The sequence below is a fragment of the Homo sapiens genome, chromosome 15 (genome assembly GCF_000001405.40).
Source record: "Homo sapiens chromosome 15, GRCh38.p14 Primary Assembly".
Classification (NCBI taxonomy): Eukaryota; Metazoa; Chordata; class Mammalia; order Primates; family Hominidae; genus Homo; species Homo sapiens.
In genome coordinates, this window is record NC_000015.10 from 20,772,572 (window position 1) to 20,790,238 (window position 17,667).

At 47.6% G+C, this 17,667-nt stretch overlaps 1 long non-coding RNA gene and 1 pseudogene across 1 annotated transcript; one reads left to right on the forward strand and one right to left on the reverse strand.

The window, feature by feature from the left end:
- The first annotated feature begins 536 nt into the window (after window positions 1-536).
- LOC124903443 (uncharacterized) lies at window positions 537-2,163 on the forward strand. The gene is made up of 3 exons (XR_007064498.1): window positions 537-851; window positions 941-1,029; window positions 1,744-2,163. It is a non-coding gene; the product is annotated as an uncharacterized LOC124903443 (long non-coding RNA).
- LONRF2P3 (LONRF2 pseudogene 3) lies at window positions 2,891-3,654 on the reverse strand (annotated as a pseudogene).

Sequence of the window (17,667 nt, forward strand, 5' to 3'; positions counted from 1 at the left end):
GGAGGGGTTGGGGCAGGAGCTTTGGGGTGAAAAGGTTGGCTAAAGATACACAGTCATCAGGAGACAGGCATAACAACATAAAACCAGTTGTAGGTAACACAGAATGATTCTGATATTGATGTTCAATTCCACACACTAACAGACGTGAGAACCTCATTCACCGCACGTGGAGAAGGCACTGTATCTGCTCCGTGGTGGTCCCGATGACTTGTGTTTATCATTGCCTGGGTCTGCATTTTCTCTTCTCTAGATTTTGCTTATCCTGCAAAGTTTGTGCTGGGACATCATTTCTAGGATTGAGTTTAAGCTGAGCCTCAGAGTTTTTATTGCAGCTACGGTGGATATGGCTTGGTTCCCTGCAGTACTCTCTGGAAAGTACCTTCCTCCGTTTGAAATCCCTGACGTGGTACCTCCTACAGCCTGCACAGCTCTGGCCTCTGCCATGGGTCTCATGGCCTCTTCTGCTAAAACTAGAGAGGAGGTTCATCCCCTGCCTCTTTATAGAGAAGAGCCACTTGCTGACTGAGCTGAAAAGGGACTCCCCACTGAGCAGGCTCACCAGTGTCCCGACAGCCGGGCAGATCATGGGGACGGGGAATTCTGAGCAGAACCTCTTCAGAAGTTGAGTCTCAAGGGGCCTTGGGGAACTTGGTCAGCAGATGGCAAGACTTCATCTGTCAGTGGGCGGGTCAGCTCAGCGGGACTCCTGTCTTTGGAACTGAGACTCAAGTCTCTACTCTGTACCAAGACAGAGATGGAGGCCAGGAAACAAGACACACAACCATTTTCCATCATCGAGGGGCAAGGCAGGGCTTGGCATGAGGCAGAACCAGGCTCCATCAATGCCACATGTCAGGAGGAACCTCTTTTCTGTTTCAATCCCTCCTGCCCATTTGTGGGAGGCATTAGAGAGGCCTGACATAGTTTTTTTTCTCCACAGCCTGAGGACGTGATAGGATTTCATTCCCGCCCCACCTTGTGGTTGGATGGAATCATGTGCCCAATTCTGGTCAAGATCAAGAAACTGAGGTATCATTTTTGTTTGTGTGGGACCAGGAAAATGGCTCTAATTTGGCTTTGTGTTTGTGCATGTGTGTGAGAACGGACAGGTAAATGTGTGTAATGGAGAGTGGGTAGGTGAGTGTGTACATGTGTGAGAGTGTGTATGTGAGTTGTGTGAATGTTTGTGAAGAAATGTGTGATAGTGGTGTTTGAACTTGGCAGTATGAGTGTGTATGTGGAATATAACTGTGTGCGGATGTGTAAATATGAGTGCATATGTGTGTTAATGTGTGTAAGTGTGTGAATAAGCCATGTGAGTGTGGTGTGTGAGCTTGGGTCCATGAGTGTGTGTGCGTGTCTGTGTGAGCATGACAGAGTGTGTGAGTTTGGGGTGTGTGCAGGCCACAGCCAGTCCCTCCTGGGGTACTAGATCTTTCCAACCCAAGCACCTCAAGTCGTTCTCCTTCCTCACTCCATCCTGAGCTTCCCAGCCAACTGCCTCTCATCCAAACTCCCACAGGGAAACAGTCCCTGGGACTAGGGGCTCTGAGCATGGCACAGTGCCAAGTCTCCTCCCTGGCCACCTCCTGAGAACCTGGGTGTAGCACAAAACAGTCAAATATGTTCCTCTTCTGTCATCACTAACTAGAGCTCCACAGCTTCCCAGATTGCCCTGTTAGCTCTTCACCATAATTAGCTATTTTCTGATATCATACTAACATTCCTTAATTATTCCCTCAGAAACAAAGCAAATCCGTGGGATGCAGAGGGTACGCTGATGACTTCTGCTGGGGAGAGAAGCCCAAACACACGTCCTGGGCAGAGCCCAGAGACCTGGAGTGTGGCTGCCAGTGGGCACCCGGCTGAGGGACAAGCAGGTGGGCCTCAGTGGTGGCTGCCAGGTCCCTGGACGCAGGGGGCCACCGGCTTTGCCTCTCCTCTGCCTCGGAAGCACCGGAGGCTTTGGGGATCTGGTGGTCCTCCGGCCCTGAACGTGGACCTGGTGTGACAAAGGGAAGTTTGCCATCTCCATCCTCCTCAAGCTGCCTGTGCACCCCAGTAGCACTCACCCTCTCTGTGCTCCCGTCTGCACCGCATGTCCTGGGGTCCTTCTTTGTGCTGCACCCAGTGACAGGAACCAGTGTCCCGACTGTGACTTACTTCCCCCCTCAGGGACACACAAGGACTTTCACATCGAGGCTACTTTTCACCCCTTCTGCCTCCTGCAGGGACGCTGCATGCAGAGGCAGGAGGACAGAGGGGCTGGTCTCAGGTGTGGCTTCTCTCATACCTGGCGCAGGTGGCCACTCCCCTTCCCCCCCCACTCCCCCACCCCACCTCAGCTCCCGGGTGTGAATGAGAAAGGGGAACCAAGAGATCATCATTACATGGGACATGCCACAAACCCCAAAAAGACCCATTTGGTGAAAAGAAGTAAAACAACCACAAGGCTATTTTGGCCTGAGGTGGTCTCATGGCTGAAGCAGCCGCTGGTCTCTTGCCTGGGCTACTCAAATAGTAACCCGGTGTGTCCTCCCATGTGCATTTTCCTTCGGGTTGAGCAAAAACACTTTGTCATCCTCCCACTCCTCAATAGAGCAGAAGGGAATGAAAGGCAACTACAGGGCCTTACAGAGCTGCTCCGGGGGCCGCGGGAAACTTATCAGCATCCTAGAAAAGACAAAACCAGTGGGTTGCATGTGGCCTCTGACACCTGCCACCCTGACTGCAGGGAGTGGCCTCCCCCACCTTTCACCTTCCCATCATTAGTAAGCAAAGTGACCCCCTACGCCTGGACAAAGCGCTCAAAAGCCCAGGCCCGCGGGTTAGCTCCAGCCGCTCGGCTTGACAGGGGCCAGGGAGGCGGGCCAGCCCCACAGCCAAGTCACAGCTCCAGGGCCTGGTCGCACCTGAGCAGCGCGGCCTCGGGCTGCTGCTGGCGCTGCAGGATCCGCGCCTGACCCTCCAGCCTGCGCAGCGGGCACTCGGCCGGGAAGCACCTCTCCAGCAGGCGGCTCAGCACCACGTTCACGCGCCCGCGCCTGTGGCCGCGCGGGCCCCAGCTCCACTTAGCGCTCACAGACCGTGAGCCCGCAGGGCAGCGTCACAGGCTTGTGCAGCAGCCGTGGGCAGCCAAGCAGGTCGCGGGGCGCGCCGGGCGCCAGGGCCGGCCCTCCCTAGCCCTGAGCTCGCCGCCAGGCTTCCCCGCCAACAGTGGCCGTTCGCGCAGGCCGGGACACACCAGGCCGCCCGCCAGCTCCCCCAGCTCCTCCGGACTCAGCGCCTCCAACCTCCCGGCTACATGGAACGCGCCCAGGGCCACCGGGAGGCGGCCGGCGCGGGCCAGCGCGTCCCCCAGCCTCAGGCACCGGCCGCGGTCGGGCTGCGCCAGCAGGGCCAGCATGGAGCGGAAGAGCCCGGCGCTTTCTGGTACTTGCTCGCGCGGAAGGCCTCGTCGCCCTCCTCCAAGCGGTGGGCGCTTGGCTTCCCGCAGCAGCAGCCCGACACTGGGGCGGCGGCGGCGGGACCGGCTCAGTGCTGATTCTCGCGGGGCTGCGACCGTGCGGGCCTGGAGCGAAGGCGCGGAGCAGGGGCGATGAGCTGCTGCTGGGAACTGGCCGGCGGGAGCGCGGCCACAGCCTTCGCCTGCAGAACCAAAAAAACGGTTTTAAAAATCTTTTTAACATCCGCAGAACGTGAAGAATTACATTGGAAATTGGTTAGAGATTGTATTGGACCTATAGATTGATTTGAGTATGATGGTCATTTTAACAGTATTAACACTTCTAATTCAAAAAATGGGATAACCTTGTCTTTACTTGTATCTTTTCAATTGATTTTTATCAATGTTTTATAGTTTTCATTTTAGACGTCTTTATTTTGCCAGGCATTTTTTTTATAGCTATTTTCAATGGGGATTCCTTTTTCAGATAGTATGCTGTTGGGTATAGAAATGCATCTGATTTTTCTATGCTGATTTTGTATTCTAAAACTTTACTGTATTCATTTACTGTTTCTGTTTTTCAGTATAGGGTCTTTTATACATATGACATGATCTATGTCATCTGCAAACAGGGACAATTTGACTTTCTTTTTGTTTTTCAATTTGGATGTCTTTTCTTTCTCTTTTCTAATTGCTCTAGCTAGGACTTCCAGTGCTATGTTGAAGAGAAGTTATTAAAGTGAACATCCTTGTCTTGTTCTTGATCTTAGAGACACAGTTTTCAATTTTTCCTTATTCAGTATCATGTTGGCTGTGGGTTATCACATATGGCCTTTATTTTATTGAGTTATACTCTTTTTATAACTGATTTGTTAAGAGATCTTATGTTTACAAAAAACATTGAATTTTGTCAAATGCTTTTTCTGTATCTATTTAAATGATTATATGATTTTTATCTTACCTTAGCGAATGTGGTGTATCACATTTATTGATTTATATATCATAAGCCCTCCTTGCCTCCCTGGAACAAATACAGCCTGATTATGGTGAATCATCTTTTTAATGTGCTTTCAAATTATGATTGCTAGCATTGCTGGTTTTGAATTTTTGCATTTATGTTCATCACTGATATTGGCCTGTAGTTTAGTTTTTCACTGTTCTTGTCGCATTTTGGAATAAGGTAATTCTGTCTTCATAGAATGAGTTTGGAAGAGTTTCCTCCTTTTCACTTTTTTTGGAACAGTTTGTAAATAATTAGTATATGTTCCTCTTTAAATGTTTTGAAGAATTCAGCAGTATAAGCATTGGATCCTCGATTTTTATTTTCTTCTCCTTCCCTCCCTTCCTTCCTTCCTCCCTCCCTCCCTCCCTCTGTCTCTCTTTTCTTCCTCTTTCTTTCTTTCTTTTTCTTCTTCTTCTTAAATATTTTTGGTTTAGAGACATGGTCTTTCTTTGTCACTCAGGCTGGAGTACAGTGGTGCAATCATAGCTCACTGCAGCCTCAAATTCCTGGTCTTAAGTGATCCTCCTGCCTCAGCCTCCCAAGTTGTTAGGACTGCAAGTGCACACCACTAAACCTGGATAATTTTTATTTTTATTTTTGTAAAGACTGGGTCTCACTATGTTCCCCAGGCTAATCTGGAAATTCTGGCTTCAAGTAATCCTCCTGCCTTGGCCTCCAAAGTGTGAGATGACATGTGTGAGACACTGTGCCAGCCCTCCAGATTTTCTTGTATTGAGAGACAATGCTTCAATCTCTTTATTTGTTATTGGTCTGTTCGCATTTTGTATTTCTTAATTCTTCAATTTTGATAGGTTATATGTGTTCAGAAACGTATTTATTTCTTCTAGGTTTTCTAATTTATTGGCATATAATTTTAGTACTTTCTCATGATTCTTTGTATTTCTGTAGTAACCATTTTAATGTCTTTTTTCATCTCTCATTTTATTTATGTGAATCTTCTCTCTTTTTTCTTAATCTGACTAAAGATATATCAATTGCGTTTATCTTTTCAAAAAATAACTTTTTATTTCATTGATCTTTCATATTTTTGTCTCCATTTTGTTTATTTGTGCTCTGGTCTTCATTATCTATATTCTTTTACCAATTTGGGGCTAAGTTTGTTCACGTTTCTATAATTCCTTGAAATGCATTCTTAAATTATTAATGAGAGTTTTCTTTCTTTCATATAGAAATTTATTTCTACAAACTTCCCTCTGAGGACTTTTTCTGCTGTATTTCGTAAGTTTTTATATGTTCTGATTTCATTTTCATTTGTCTTAAGAATTTTTAAAATGAAACAAAATTTATTTTTTAACCCATTGTTTGTTTAGGGGCACGTTGTTTAATTTGTATGTATTTGCACAATTTCTGAAGTTCTTGTTGTTTATTTCTAGTTTTATTCTATATTGTCAGAAAAGATGTGATATAATTTTGATTTTTTTTTGAATTTGCTAAGGCTCATTTTGTGCCTAGTATATGATCTATCATGGAAAATGTTCCATGCGCAGTAGAGAAGACTGTGAATTATGCAATTGTTGGATAACATGTTCTGTAAATGACTGCTAAGTTATTTGGTCTAGAGTTCACTTTAAATATGATGTTTCTTTGTTGATTTTATGTCTTGATAATCTGTTTATTGCTGAAAGTAGAATGTTACTATTATTTTATTGCTTGCTGTTTCTCCTGTTAGATCTATTAACATTTGTTTTATATATTTAGGTCCTTCAATATAGAGGGCATATATATTTACAATTATATTATCTTGTGATATTGATCCCTTTATCATTATATAATGGCTGTATTTGTCTGTTTTTATAGGATTTTGTTTGAAGTATATGTTATCTGATATAAATATATCTATACTGGCTTTCTTTCGGTTTCCATATTTATAAAATATATTTTTCCATCTGATCACTTTCAATTTATGTGTGTATTTACAGATGAAGTGAATTTCCTGTAGAAAGTTTATAGTTAGGTCTTGTTTTTAATCAGTGTAGCCATTATATGTCTTAAATGGGATAATCCATTTACATACAAGATAATTGTTGATAGGCAAGGACTTGGTTCTGCCATATTATTACTTGTTTTCATGTTTTTTTTAATTTGTACTTTGATTGATTGATTTCTCTATCTTCCTTTGTGATTAAGTGCTTTACTCTATCAGTGTGTTTCGGTTTTTTTTTTTTTAATTTTTAGAGTATCTTTTAAAAGTTTTTGCTTTGTGGTTACCACAAGGCATGCAAAGAACATTTTGTGGTTACAATAAGTTATTTTAAAGAGATAGCAACTTAATTTTGATTCAAAAAGAGGGGAAAAGAAACCACTCTACTCTTTAACTCCATCACTCCCTCACATTTTGCATTTTTGATGTCTTAATTTACATCTTTGTATATTGCTATTCCTTAACAAATTATTGTAATTATTATTATTTTATTTGTATTGTTTTTTAACCTTCCTACTAAGGATATATAAGTGCTTTACATCCAATTATTACCATATTAGAGCATTCCAAATTTGTCTGAATCCTCACTTCTACCTGTGGGTTTATACCTTCAGATTTTTTGTGTTACATATTGCTGCCATTTTCTTTCAGTTTGGAGAACAATATTTAGCGTTTCTTGTAAGGCTGGTTTGATTACAATGAATTCCTTTGCTTTTTGTTTGTCTGAGAATGTTTCAATCTCTCCTTTATTTCTAAATGATAGCTATGCTGGATACTTTATTCATGGTTGACAGTTTTTTTAATTCAGCACTTGAATCTATTATCCTACTCTCTCCTGGCCTGTAGTGCTTCTGCTGAGAAGTCTGCTGCCAGGCATATTGGAATTCTCTTATGTGTTGTTTCCCTTTTCTTAGTCCTTTCAGGGTCTTCTCTTTGTGTTTGACATTTGAGAGTTTAATTATAAAATGTCTTTGGTTGTCTTATTCAGATTAAATATGATTGGGCACTTTGACCATCCTAAACATTTTAATCTTTCTCCAGGTTTAAAAAGTTTTCTGTTATTTCTTTGAATAAACTATCTCCTTTTCATTCTTAGTTCCCCTTTAACACCAATGATATGTAGATTTGCTCTTTTGTTGGTGTCCCACAAATCTCATAAACTTTCTTTGTTTCTTTTCATTCTTTTTTTCATTCTACTCTGACCATGTATTTTCAAAGAGCCTGTCTTTGAGCTCACTGTTTCTTTCTTCTGCTTGATCAGTTCTTCTGTTGATGCCTTCCGTTGGATTTTCAATGTGTTAATTGAACTTTCCTGCTTCAGGATTTACATGTGATTTTTCCCATTATTTTGATTTCTTTGTTGAATTTCTCTGGTAAATTTCTGAATTATGTCTCTGCTTTCTCAGTGTTCAGGCTCTTCTTAAAACAGCCATTTTGAATTCTTTGCCTGCCAGATCATTCATCTGTATGTCTTTAAGTTCAGTTGCTGACACCTTGTTTTGTCCATTTGGAGAGGCAACTTTTCCTAAGCTATCATTATTATATGTAGATATACATCTCTGTCTACACATTGATGAATTAGATATTTATTTGTGTCTTCTCAGTCTGGGTTTGTTTGTGACTACTTTTAAGTGGGCTTATTAGGAAATGTTGAGCGGACTTACCATCGTATTCCATTTTAGCATTAGAGAGAGTCCAAATCCCACGTTAGACATAAGTCTTCCAATGGCTCCACCACTGCTGCAACATTTGCTGGATGGGCCCATGGGTGATCCACAGGGAGCCCCTGGCTATGGGGGAGAACAAGTCAGGCCGTCAAGCGTGTAGTCTGTGTATTATGTTTCACATGGTGGCTGTTGCTGGCCCCACCTCCTCTTATGTCCTTAACATGCCTCAGGTGGTTCATCCCTTTTGGCACTCATGGTGCCACTTGTGGGCTGATACAGGAGTGAGTCTACTGTGAAGGCACTCAGTATAGTGGAAAAAACAAATATCAACCTCCTGCTGACTTTTTTCAGTGTAAAAACTATAAGCCCTATGGGAGTTTCTGCAGATGGTACCATAATGGCCTGAGGGAGGAGTATCACAGTCACAGAGTATTGGTTCTCTCACTCTGTAAGCCATGGTTTTACCCATCTTCACAGGCCAAAGGTGCTTCATAACCTTGTTCATGTATTGAGGTTCTGTTGGCTCTTGTAATGGTAATTTCACATGTGGACAGTTGTTCATATTGATGTTTCTATAGGGGTATGATAGCTGGAGAGGTCTGCACCACTGTCTTGCTCTGCCTCGATCATTATTTTTTTCTAACAAGAATTTGTCTCCTCCTAGTTTTTCTTTTTCTCTTAACCGACCTAGGTATAGCCTTTTAATCCTTCTCCCTCCTCTGCTTCTAATGTCATTGCTTCTTTGTATGCCTATCATATCTACATGCTACATGACCTTCAGCTGGTTATGTATAATATATAAGACTTAATATCCTATAAAATAGAGGTAATAATAGCATCTACTTGATAGGAAAGTTAAGAATATTAAATGACACCATTGATGTTAAATGGAGGTAACTTTCTGAAATGTATTAATGAGACATGATTCTTTGTTCTAGTCCACTTCGTAGACTAGACTACTTTGTTTGAGTTTTCTCTTTTCAGTCAGAGAAAGCAATAAAATTGTAATGGTAAAAATTAAATAAAATTTAACTTAAAATTGTGTTCTGGTCTTCTCATTGTTCAGCCGTGGAAAGCAATAAAATTGTGATAGCAGAAATTAAAAGTGAGCAGAGACTTATTTAAAAATTGGTATTCTCCTTTTCAATGCCAAAATAAGAACTAGAAACTTTTAATAAGGCAACAGTCTGAAGAAACAATTTATTGAAGAGAATATGGGTTTCTAAATCCTAACAAGTTTTTTTACGTATGTGAGTCAAGTTTGGCTGCCTTGAATCCTATTATGACTTTAATGGAAGTTCTAGTTAGGGTGGAAAGTGTCAAAGAAAACAGTTGCACCAGACAAAGTTAAACACATAAAAAAGCTGTTATTGAAGACTATTGCAAAAGGGCAAAGAGGCCAGAACTTAGTCTGAACTCAGCTCCGCTGAAACAAACAGCAGTAGAGATTTTAAGAGCCAGGATGAGGGGGAGATCATAGACCACTTGTCTTTGATAGTTGTCTTTTTCCAAAGGAATATTAAACTATCTTTCATCTTTATGACAGAAGGTGATTTTACAAATTAGAGGAATATGCCCACCAAAATTTGGCTCTTACTCTCTCATGGAGTCTGGGAGATAATGGTGTTATCTTTTTTGAGAATTACATTTCAAAGGGATGGCTCTGAGGTCCTTGAAATGGACATTTCTGAAGTGTAAAACTGGCACGTGGGCTCTTAGAAAGATTTATCAAAGAGGCAGAGAAAGAATTTACAATGATAACATTTCTAAAATATGCTAAAGAAAAAAAGAGGTGAGGAGCCAAGAATCAGAAATAATCCTGTCTAAAAATTTTATCAAACTGAGGGGATGGCTTTAGTCAAAGGTTTAGTGTAAGGGGAATTTCTGTGAAGAAGAGGAAGAGAAGAGCTTTTAACTACACAGGAAGAAGAAAGTTCCCAGGAGATGTGACTATGGCTCTGCCTGTGTCTCTGATCAGGTATTCAGCCCCAACATCCTCCTGGGACTCGCTCAAACAGATGGATAGGAAAAAATAGACAGTTAAAGAAAGATGAGAAAATATGCAGGCTGGTGTCTTACTTCTCTAGTGCACATAGGGTGTCCCAGGAATGACAGAGTGGCAGGACAGGGGGAAGTGCCTGAGAGATCAGTTCCCTTACTCTCAGCCTGTGAGTGCTGTCTGAAAAGCCAGTCTCTCCAAGCTTGGTGGAAGGGGGACTCACACCTGGTTTGACAGGACCAGTGGAGGCCCCTGGTGGGACATGCTGGCCTCAGAATGTGAGGTCTTGGAGGCTAGAGGAAAATGGCAGTGCGTGACCAGAAACTTCATCACTGAGTGCCAATACATGCAAAATCAAAGAGAAGATGAGCCATGTCAGCAGATATCAGTGAAGCATGCCCAGAGAAGACTCCACTGACCATACACAGCACAGACCAGCCTGTTCCGGAGGACAGTGCAAATGGCACGCCACAGCAACAGAGGCGACTTCGACCCCGCCCACGCCATCAGCAGCTCGGACCCTAGGGTCAGATACCACCACAGAGGCTAATTCCAGTGGTCGCCCCGCATCTCAGGAAGACGGGAACCTGCACTCAGCACCATCCCCGTGGCTGCACAGGGCCCAGGACTCGTAACCCGGCGCTCTGGGTGCGGGCCAAGAAAGAGCGTAACCTAGGGTGGCATGTCGGTGAACTCGGCGACCCTCTGACAACCTGGGAGCAGCCCCAACAGCCTCAGTTGTGGGCTCAGCTGCAACTGCCACCTGCCGATGGTGCACGGGAGCAGCAGCGGCAACCCTCGACCCTGTCCCCGCCACCAGCAGCACGGACAGCAGGGCCAGATAGCGCCGCGGCGCCTAAGACCTTAGGCCACGCAGCTGCAGGAGGACGTGAAACGGGCGCTGACCGCCCCCCAGAAGCTATGCAATCCCCAGCGCAGGCGAGTCCTCACTCTGGGCGCGGGCCAAAGATCAGACACTACGATGAAAGGACGGTGAACTTGGTGACCCTGAGGCTCGCAATGGGTTTAGCAGCAGCTGCCAACTGCAACCAACCCTGACCCTGCCCGCGTCACCAGCAGCAGTAACCCAGGGCCAGATGCCGCCTCAGCGGCTAATTCAGGTAATCGTCCTCCAGCTGCAGCAGGGCGGAAATCCGCTGCTCAGCCCCACCTCGGCGGCTGCACAGAGCCCAGCGCCCGCACAACCCGCTCTTGGTAAGGGCAAAGGAAGAGCGGACCTAGGGTGGGAGGACCCTGCACTCCCTGACCCTCAGGCCGTCTGGGGCCAGCCCTGCCAGCCTCTGTCTAAAGCTACGCTGCAACTGCTACCTGCTCATGGCGCGCAGCGGTGGCAAACCGGGACTCCGCCCGCCGACACCAGCGGCCTCGAAACCCTAGAGACAGACTCCACCTAGTGGCCAAAATCAGGCAGTCGGCCCACAGCTGTAGGAGAGCGGGAACCTGCCCTTCAGCGGATTCCTGGAGGCTGCACAGTGCCCAGCGCCAGCCACCCGGATCTGGGCGCGGGCAAATGACCCTCAGGCCGTCTGAGACCGGACCAGCCCTGCAGCCTCAGCGGTGGGCTCAGGGGCGACTGCCACGTGCACATGGTGAACTATAGCAGCTGTGGCAGCCCCCGACCCTGTGCAAGCCACCGGCAGTGCGGACCCCATGACCAAAAGCCGCCGCGGCGCATAACTCAGGCGGTCGGCCCCCCAGCAGCCAGAGGGCGGAAACTTGCAGCTTAGCCCATCCCAGCGCCTGCACTGTGCTCAGCGCCTGCAATCCCACTCTCTGGGAGCGGGCAAGGAAGACTGGACCTTAGGGTGGGAGGGCGGTGCATTCGGGGACCCTCAAGGCTTCTGGAATAAGCCCTTCCAGCCTCCGCTGCGGGTTCAGCTGCAGCTGCCAGCTGCACACTCCTGGAAGCAGCAGCGGTGGCAGCTCTGGTCTCTGCCAGCTCCAGCAGCAGCGCGGACCGCCGAGCCAGAGGTCACTGCGGCGCCTGTTAGGAGGTTGGCCTCTCAGCTGCAGGAGGGCGGGAATCTGCACCCAACCAGATCCTCATGGCTGCACAGTGTCCAACGCCCACGACCCTGCAATTTGGGCGCCGGCCTAGGAATAACGGACCCTGGGGTGGAAGGGCGGTGCACTCAGCCACCCTTAGGCAACCTCATACCAGCCCTGACAGCATCTGCCTGGGACTCAGCTGCAGCTGGCACCTGCGCATGGCGCACGGCAGTAGTAGTGGCAGCCCTGACCCTGCCCTCAGACACCAGCAGCAAAGACCCTAGGGCCGGATGCCTCCAAGGCATCTAAGTCAGGTGGTCGGTCCCATAGCGCTGGGGATTGCAGCGGTCGCCCGCTGCAGCGGGGCGGAAATCGGCTGCTCAGCCCCATAGCAGCTGTGGCAGCCCTCATCTCTGTCCATGCCACCAGTAGCACGTACCCCAGGGTCAGATACTGCGGTGGCGCCTAATTCAGACTGTAGCTGCAGCAGGGCAGGACTCCGCCGCTCAGCCCCATCCTGGAGGCTGCTCAGAGTCTAGCGCTCGTACACCGCGTCCTGGGAGCAGGCTAAGGAAGAGCAGACCCTAGGGTGGTAGGGCGATGCACCCAGAGACCCTCAGGGTGTCTGGGACCAGCCCTGCCGGTCTCTGCCACGCGCTCAGCTGCAGCTACCACCGCCAGGTGGCTCCCGGCAGCAGCGGTGGAAACCCCGCTGACCTTGCCAGCCAACAGCAGTGAGGATACCACGGCTGGATCCCTTGCCAGGGCGGGAACCTGCCGCTCAGCATATTCTGGGCAGCTGCACAGGGCCCAGCGCCTGAAACCCCGGGCTCTGGGCTCGGGCCAAGGAAGAGTGGACCCTAGGCTGGGAGGGCGGTGCACTCGGCGATCCTCACGCTTTCTAGGACCAACCCTGCCGGCGTCTACTGAGAACTCAGCTACAGCTGCCACCTGTACAAGGGCGCCGCAGCAGCAGAGCAACCGGGCACTTTGCCTGCACCACTAAGAGCCAGGACACCGGGGACAACGCCGCCTCAGCGCCTAATTCAGGCACTCAGCCCAGCAGCTGCAGCAGGGCAGCAACCTTTGCCCTCGGCCGAAGCACCTTGGCTGCACAGTTCCCGGTGCCCGCGACCCGGAACTCTGGGCGCAGGCAAAAGAAGAGCGTACACTAGGCTGGGACAGTGGTCCACTCCATGACCCTGAGGCTGTCTGGGAAACTCCTTGTCAGGTGATGGGCCCAGCTGCAGCAGCCAGCTGCACATGGCGCGCGCAGCAGCCTTGGAGGCAACCCCAGACCAGGCTCCTACACCAGCCAGGCGGATCCCAGGGCCAGACGCCGCCCACCGGCTAATTCAGCTGGTCAGACCCCAGCTGCAGGAGGGCGGGAGCCGGCCGCTCAGCCATTTCCTGGCTGCTGCCCTGTACCCAGCGCTTGCACACCCCGCTGTGGGCTCCGGCAAGAAAGAGCTGACTCTAGGGTGAAAGGGCCCTGCACTCAGAGACCCCCAGGCTGTCTGGGACCAGCCCTGCCTGCCTCTGATGTAGGTTCAGCTGCAGTGGTAACCTGCACAAGGCGCGCAGCAGCAGCTGTGGCAAACTCCGACCCTGCCAGTGCCACCAGCAGTGCGGACCCTTGGGCCAGAAGCCTCCACAGCGCCTAAGTCAGGGTGTTGGTCCCCAGCTGCAGGAGGGCAGGAACTGGCACTCAGCCCCACCTCAGAGGCTGCATGATGCCCAGAGCCAGGGCCCAGCTCTTCTAGCGCAGGTTGTGGAGGGGCCAGGGGCCACCCAGACTGGAGGGCAGTGTCATGATCACAGCTCACTGAAGCCTCAACCTCCCAGTTTCAAGCTATCGTCTCACCTCAGCCTCCTGAGTAGCTGGTAGCTGGGACTGCAGGCGGGTGCCATCATGTCTGGCTATTATATTTTATATACATTTTGGAGAGACAGTGTCTCACCATGTTGCCCAGCAGGTCTTGAACGCCTGGAGTTCAAGCGATTCTCCCAACTTGACCTTCCTCAGTGGTGGTGGTGGGATTATATGTGTGAGCCACTGTGCCCTACCTGCCGCTTTCTTATAAGGATACTTGTCATTGGATTTAGGGCCCATCCTAATCCAAGATGAGATGCCCTCATCTCGAGGTGCTGGATTTAATTACATCTGCAGATTGTTTTCCAAATAAAGGTACATTCACATGTTCCAGGTAGACATATCTTTTGATAGACCACCATGCAATCCACTCTAGGAGTATTAAAGTGCCAGTGTGGACCGAGGCACCAAAGAATCACATTATTATGTCATATAACTTGCCTTATTTGTAGTGACCCGTGGGCTTGGAAACAGAACCATTTGCAGCTGTCAGGGAAGTGCACAGTGCCTGACCTTTCCTGCAGCCTCCTCCCCACTGGGCTTCCATGAGAGGATCACCCCTTGGAGTGTCCAGAGATTCCTGTTAAATGCTAAAGACCACAGGAGAGTTTGAGCGGGGGAAGATGTTTGGGGAGCAACTTAGTTGTCCTGAGGTGCCCATCACCCTTCACCGTTTCAGCAATATGGATCTTCCAAGGCTCTGGGAATGGGAACCAGGCATAAGACAGATACATGTGAGTGAGAAGAGGCCAGAGTCTTTCTCTGTGTAGGCACCATCCAGCCCAAGATGAGCATTGTTCCAGAAACACATGCACTCATGATGCTAAACCCAATCTATTGAGGACTTAATACAAACTGTGATTTTTTTAAGCATTTAATTCTTACCACAGTCCTTTGTCATCTTATTATCTCCATTTTACAGATAAAGAAACAGGCACAGAGGGTTTAAGTAACATGTACAAGGTCACACAATCACAACTAGTAAAGCCAGGATTAAAGTCCAGTCAGTCTGCATTCAAAGCCTGTGCTCCTGCCCCAAAATGACAAGTAATGACTTAAAGGCAAGAAAAACACACTCTCCTCTACCCACCATCCTCATACAGACTTCCAGCCCAGGATCTAAACCATTCATTCATTTGCTCTCATATTCATTCATTCATTCATTCATTCAGTTCTTCATCACACATTTAGTGAAGCTCTGTCATGGAATGTCCAAACAGAAGGTACAAAAATGAGGCAGGTATATTTTCTCCCATCTAAAGGGGGATGACCACGTGAAGAGAACTGATGGGCTGTGTGTCCCATGGCCTTACAGGGCAGTGGTGGAGGGTGGCCCAGGTCATCCACTCTCTGGGGAGGCAGAACCAGAAGCACCAGTTGGACAACTGCTAAAGAGATGTTTGTGCAGCCTCATATGTTAAGTCCTATATTTTGAAAGCTTTTTAAATTTTTTCTTTAAGATTTTAGATGCTTACCACTGAGTACCAGAGGGATGTAGCCTGATGCCCTTATCAACAAAGTCAGGGATGGTGGCACACAAGGTTTGACTACTGCATACACGGTCACAGTGCTACCCCCAGATAGCCTGATTTCCCCTGCCTTCTCTGGTGGGGAGAAGGGCTGGCAGAGCCATTAGCATGGGCTTCAGCCAATCCTGGCCACTTTGATGCTCCTGGTGCTGACCCAGGGTCCTGGAGGATGGGCTGAGGCGGCGGGGTAGAGATGTTCAGGGCAGTGGCCCCTTTCCATCCACACTGGAACTATTTCAGTATTTTACCACCAATTCGGCTATTCCCTTATCGGCTGGCTGAACATCGGCCCTGCTCCAGGTCTCAGTTTCCCCTTTGTAAAGGGAAAGCCCTGGATTCAGGGGTGACTAGGTCATCATGGTCTTGAGATTCCAGGCCTGTAGGCAGGGGGAGAGAGGTTCACTAGGAGTGCAGAAGACCAAGGTTGGGGAGAGGCAGAGGAGAGAGTGGCCTCCCTTTGGCCCAGGTGGGAGATTCACAGAGACAACCTTCCTTCTTCTCCAAGGCAGGACTTGTTAACAGTGAGCTTCAGGCAGTCTGGCACTTGGGACTAACTAGGATGTCACCCTCCCTGCAGCCTCCACTCCATAGACAACATGAGAGGAGTGTGTAAGTATAACTAGGAACAGGCTAGTGTCCTGATATTCTCTGTGATAGAGGGGACAGCCCTCCTCAGAGACCCGGGGGAGCCCAGAACCATGGACAGCCTGAACACACTTTACTTTCTCAGCAGTGGCAACCAGAACCCTAGCCTACTAAAGCCGAAATTAAAAGGAGAAAAACCTAAATTCCTGCCTGTACCAGGCTGACTCACATCAAGGCCCTGCTAGGACTAAGCTAACTTTATATACAAGGCCAAGCAGAGCCCAGAAGGAATGGACTCCAGGAACAGGGATGAGAAGAACAAGTTCTTCTTATCAGCTTCCCCCTTTGAGATTCTTTCCTAGGCCAGTATCTCTTTGCTCTGCTCTCATAACTATTTTTGTAACTATTTCTGTAAGTTTGTAAGGATTTTGTAAGTTCCTGTTTTCCATCTGTGCAACACTGAGAAGGTCACAAGACATGTCTGAGCAAGCCTAAAATAGTAACCATCTGCTGAGGGCCTGCTGGACGGCCCAGCAGAGGTCACCAGGCATGTTTGAGTCATACACCTGTCACTGTTTGATTAACTGCCTTTGTTCTGCTTCTGTAAGCTTGCTAAGCCCACCCTGTGAGTTTCACGCAGCTGCATGCTTAAAAACCAGGCCCCATCTTTGTTCCAGGCTCAGCCTTTTGGATGCGAATCTACTAGGCCAGTGGCCACTTTAATAAAATCCTCCTGTCTCATCCATTGGTCTCTCCAGTCTCTTGAATCCCGCAACACTACAATGGCTCCAAGACAGCATGTGGGATCTAAGTAATAACTTTTTATTTTTTTTATTTTTTTTATTTTTGTACAAGACTGGGTCTGGCTTTTTCACCCAGGCTGGAGTGCAGTGGTGCAATCACAGCTCACTGCAGCCACCTCCTGGTCTCAAGCCACCCTCCCACCTTAGCCTCCTAAGTAACTTAGGACTACAGTTGTATACCACTATGGTTGGCTAATTTTTGTATTTTTTGCAGAGACAAGGTCTCACTGTATTGCTCAGGCTGGTTTCAAATTCTTGAGCTCAAGAGATTTACTAGTCTCAGCCTTCCAAAGTGCTAGGATTACAGGCACGAGACACCGTTCCTGGCCAGTAATTTTGTTTTATTATATTAAGGTGAGGTTTATACCACATTCTTCTGGTTACAGAAGTAATACATGCTCATTGTATACACTGAAAAATGTAAGCAGTATAAAGAAGAAAATAAAAAAGGATATGAAAATCACTAGTGGTCCCATTGCCTACCGTAACATTATGTGCTGCTTCTTAATCTTTACTTCCTCTCCCTCCGTGTGTGTCTTTGTGTGTGTGTGTCTGTCTGTGTGGTTTTTTGTTTGTTTTTTTGGCACATAGTACAATAGCTGACATTTATATCTTCCCGACCAGTGTTGAGCATGGTGTTAAGCAATTGACAAAGTGTATTGTATTTAACTCCTACAGAAAACCTAAAAAGGGGAAGGGCAGTATAATTAATAGAATTTTCCAGATGAAAAGACTGGGGCCTGAGTTGAGGTTACATTTTATATATGGCATTATATTGTACTTCAGACATGTAACATAGTAAGTGTCCTGG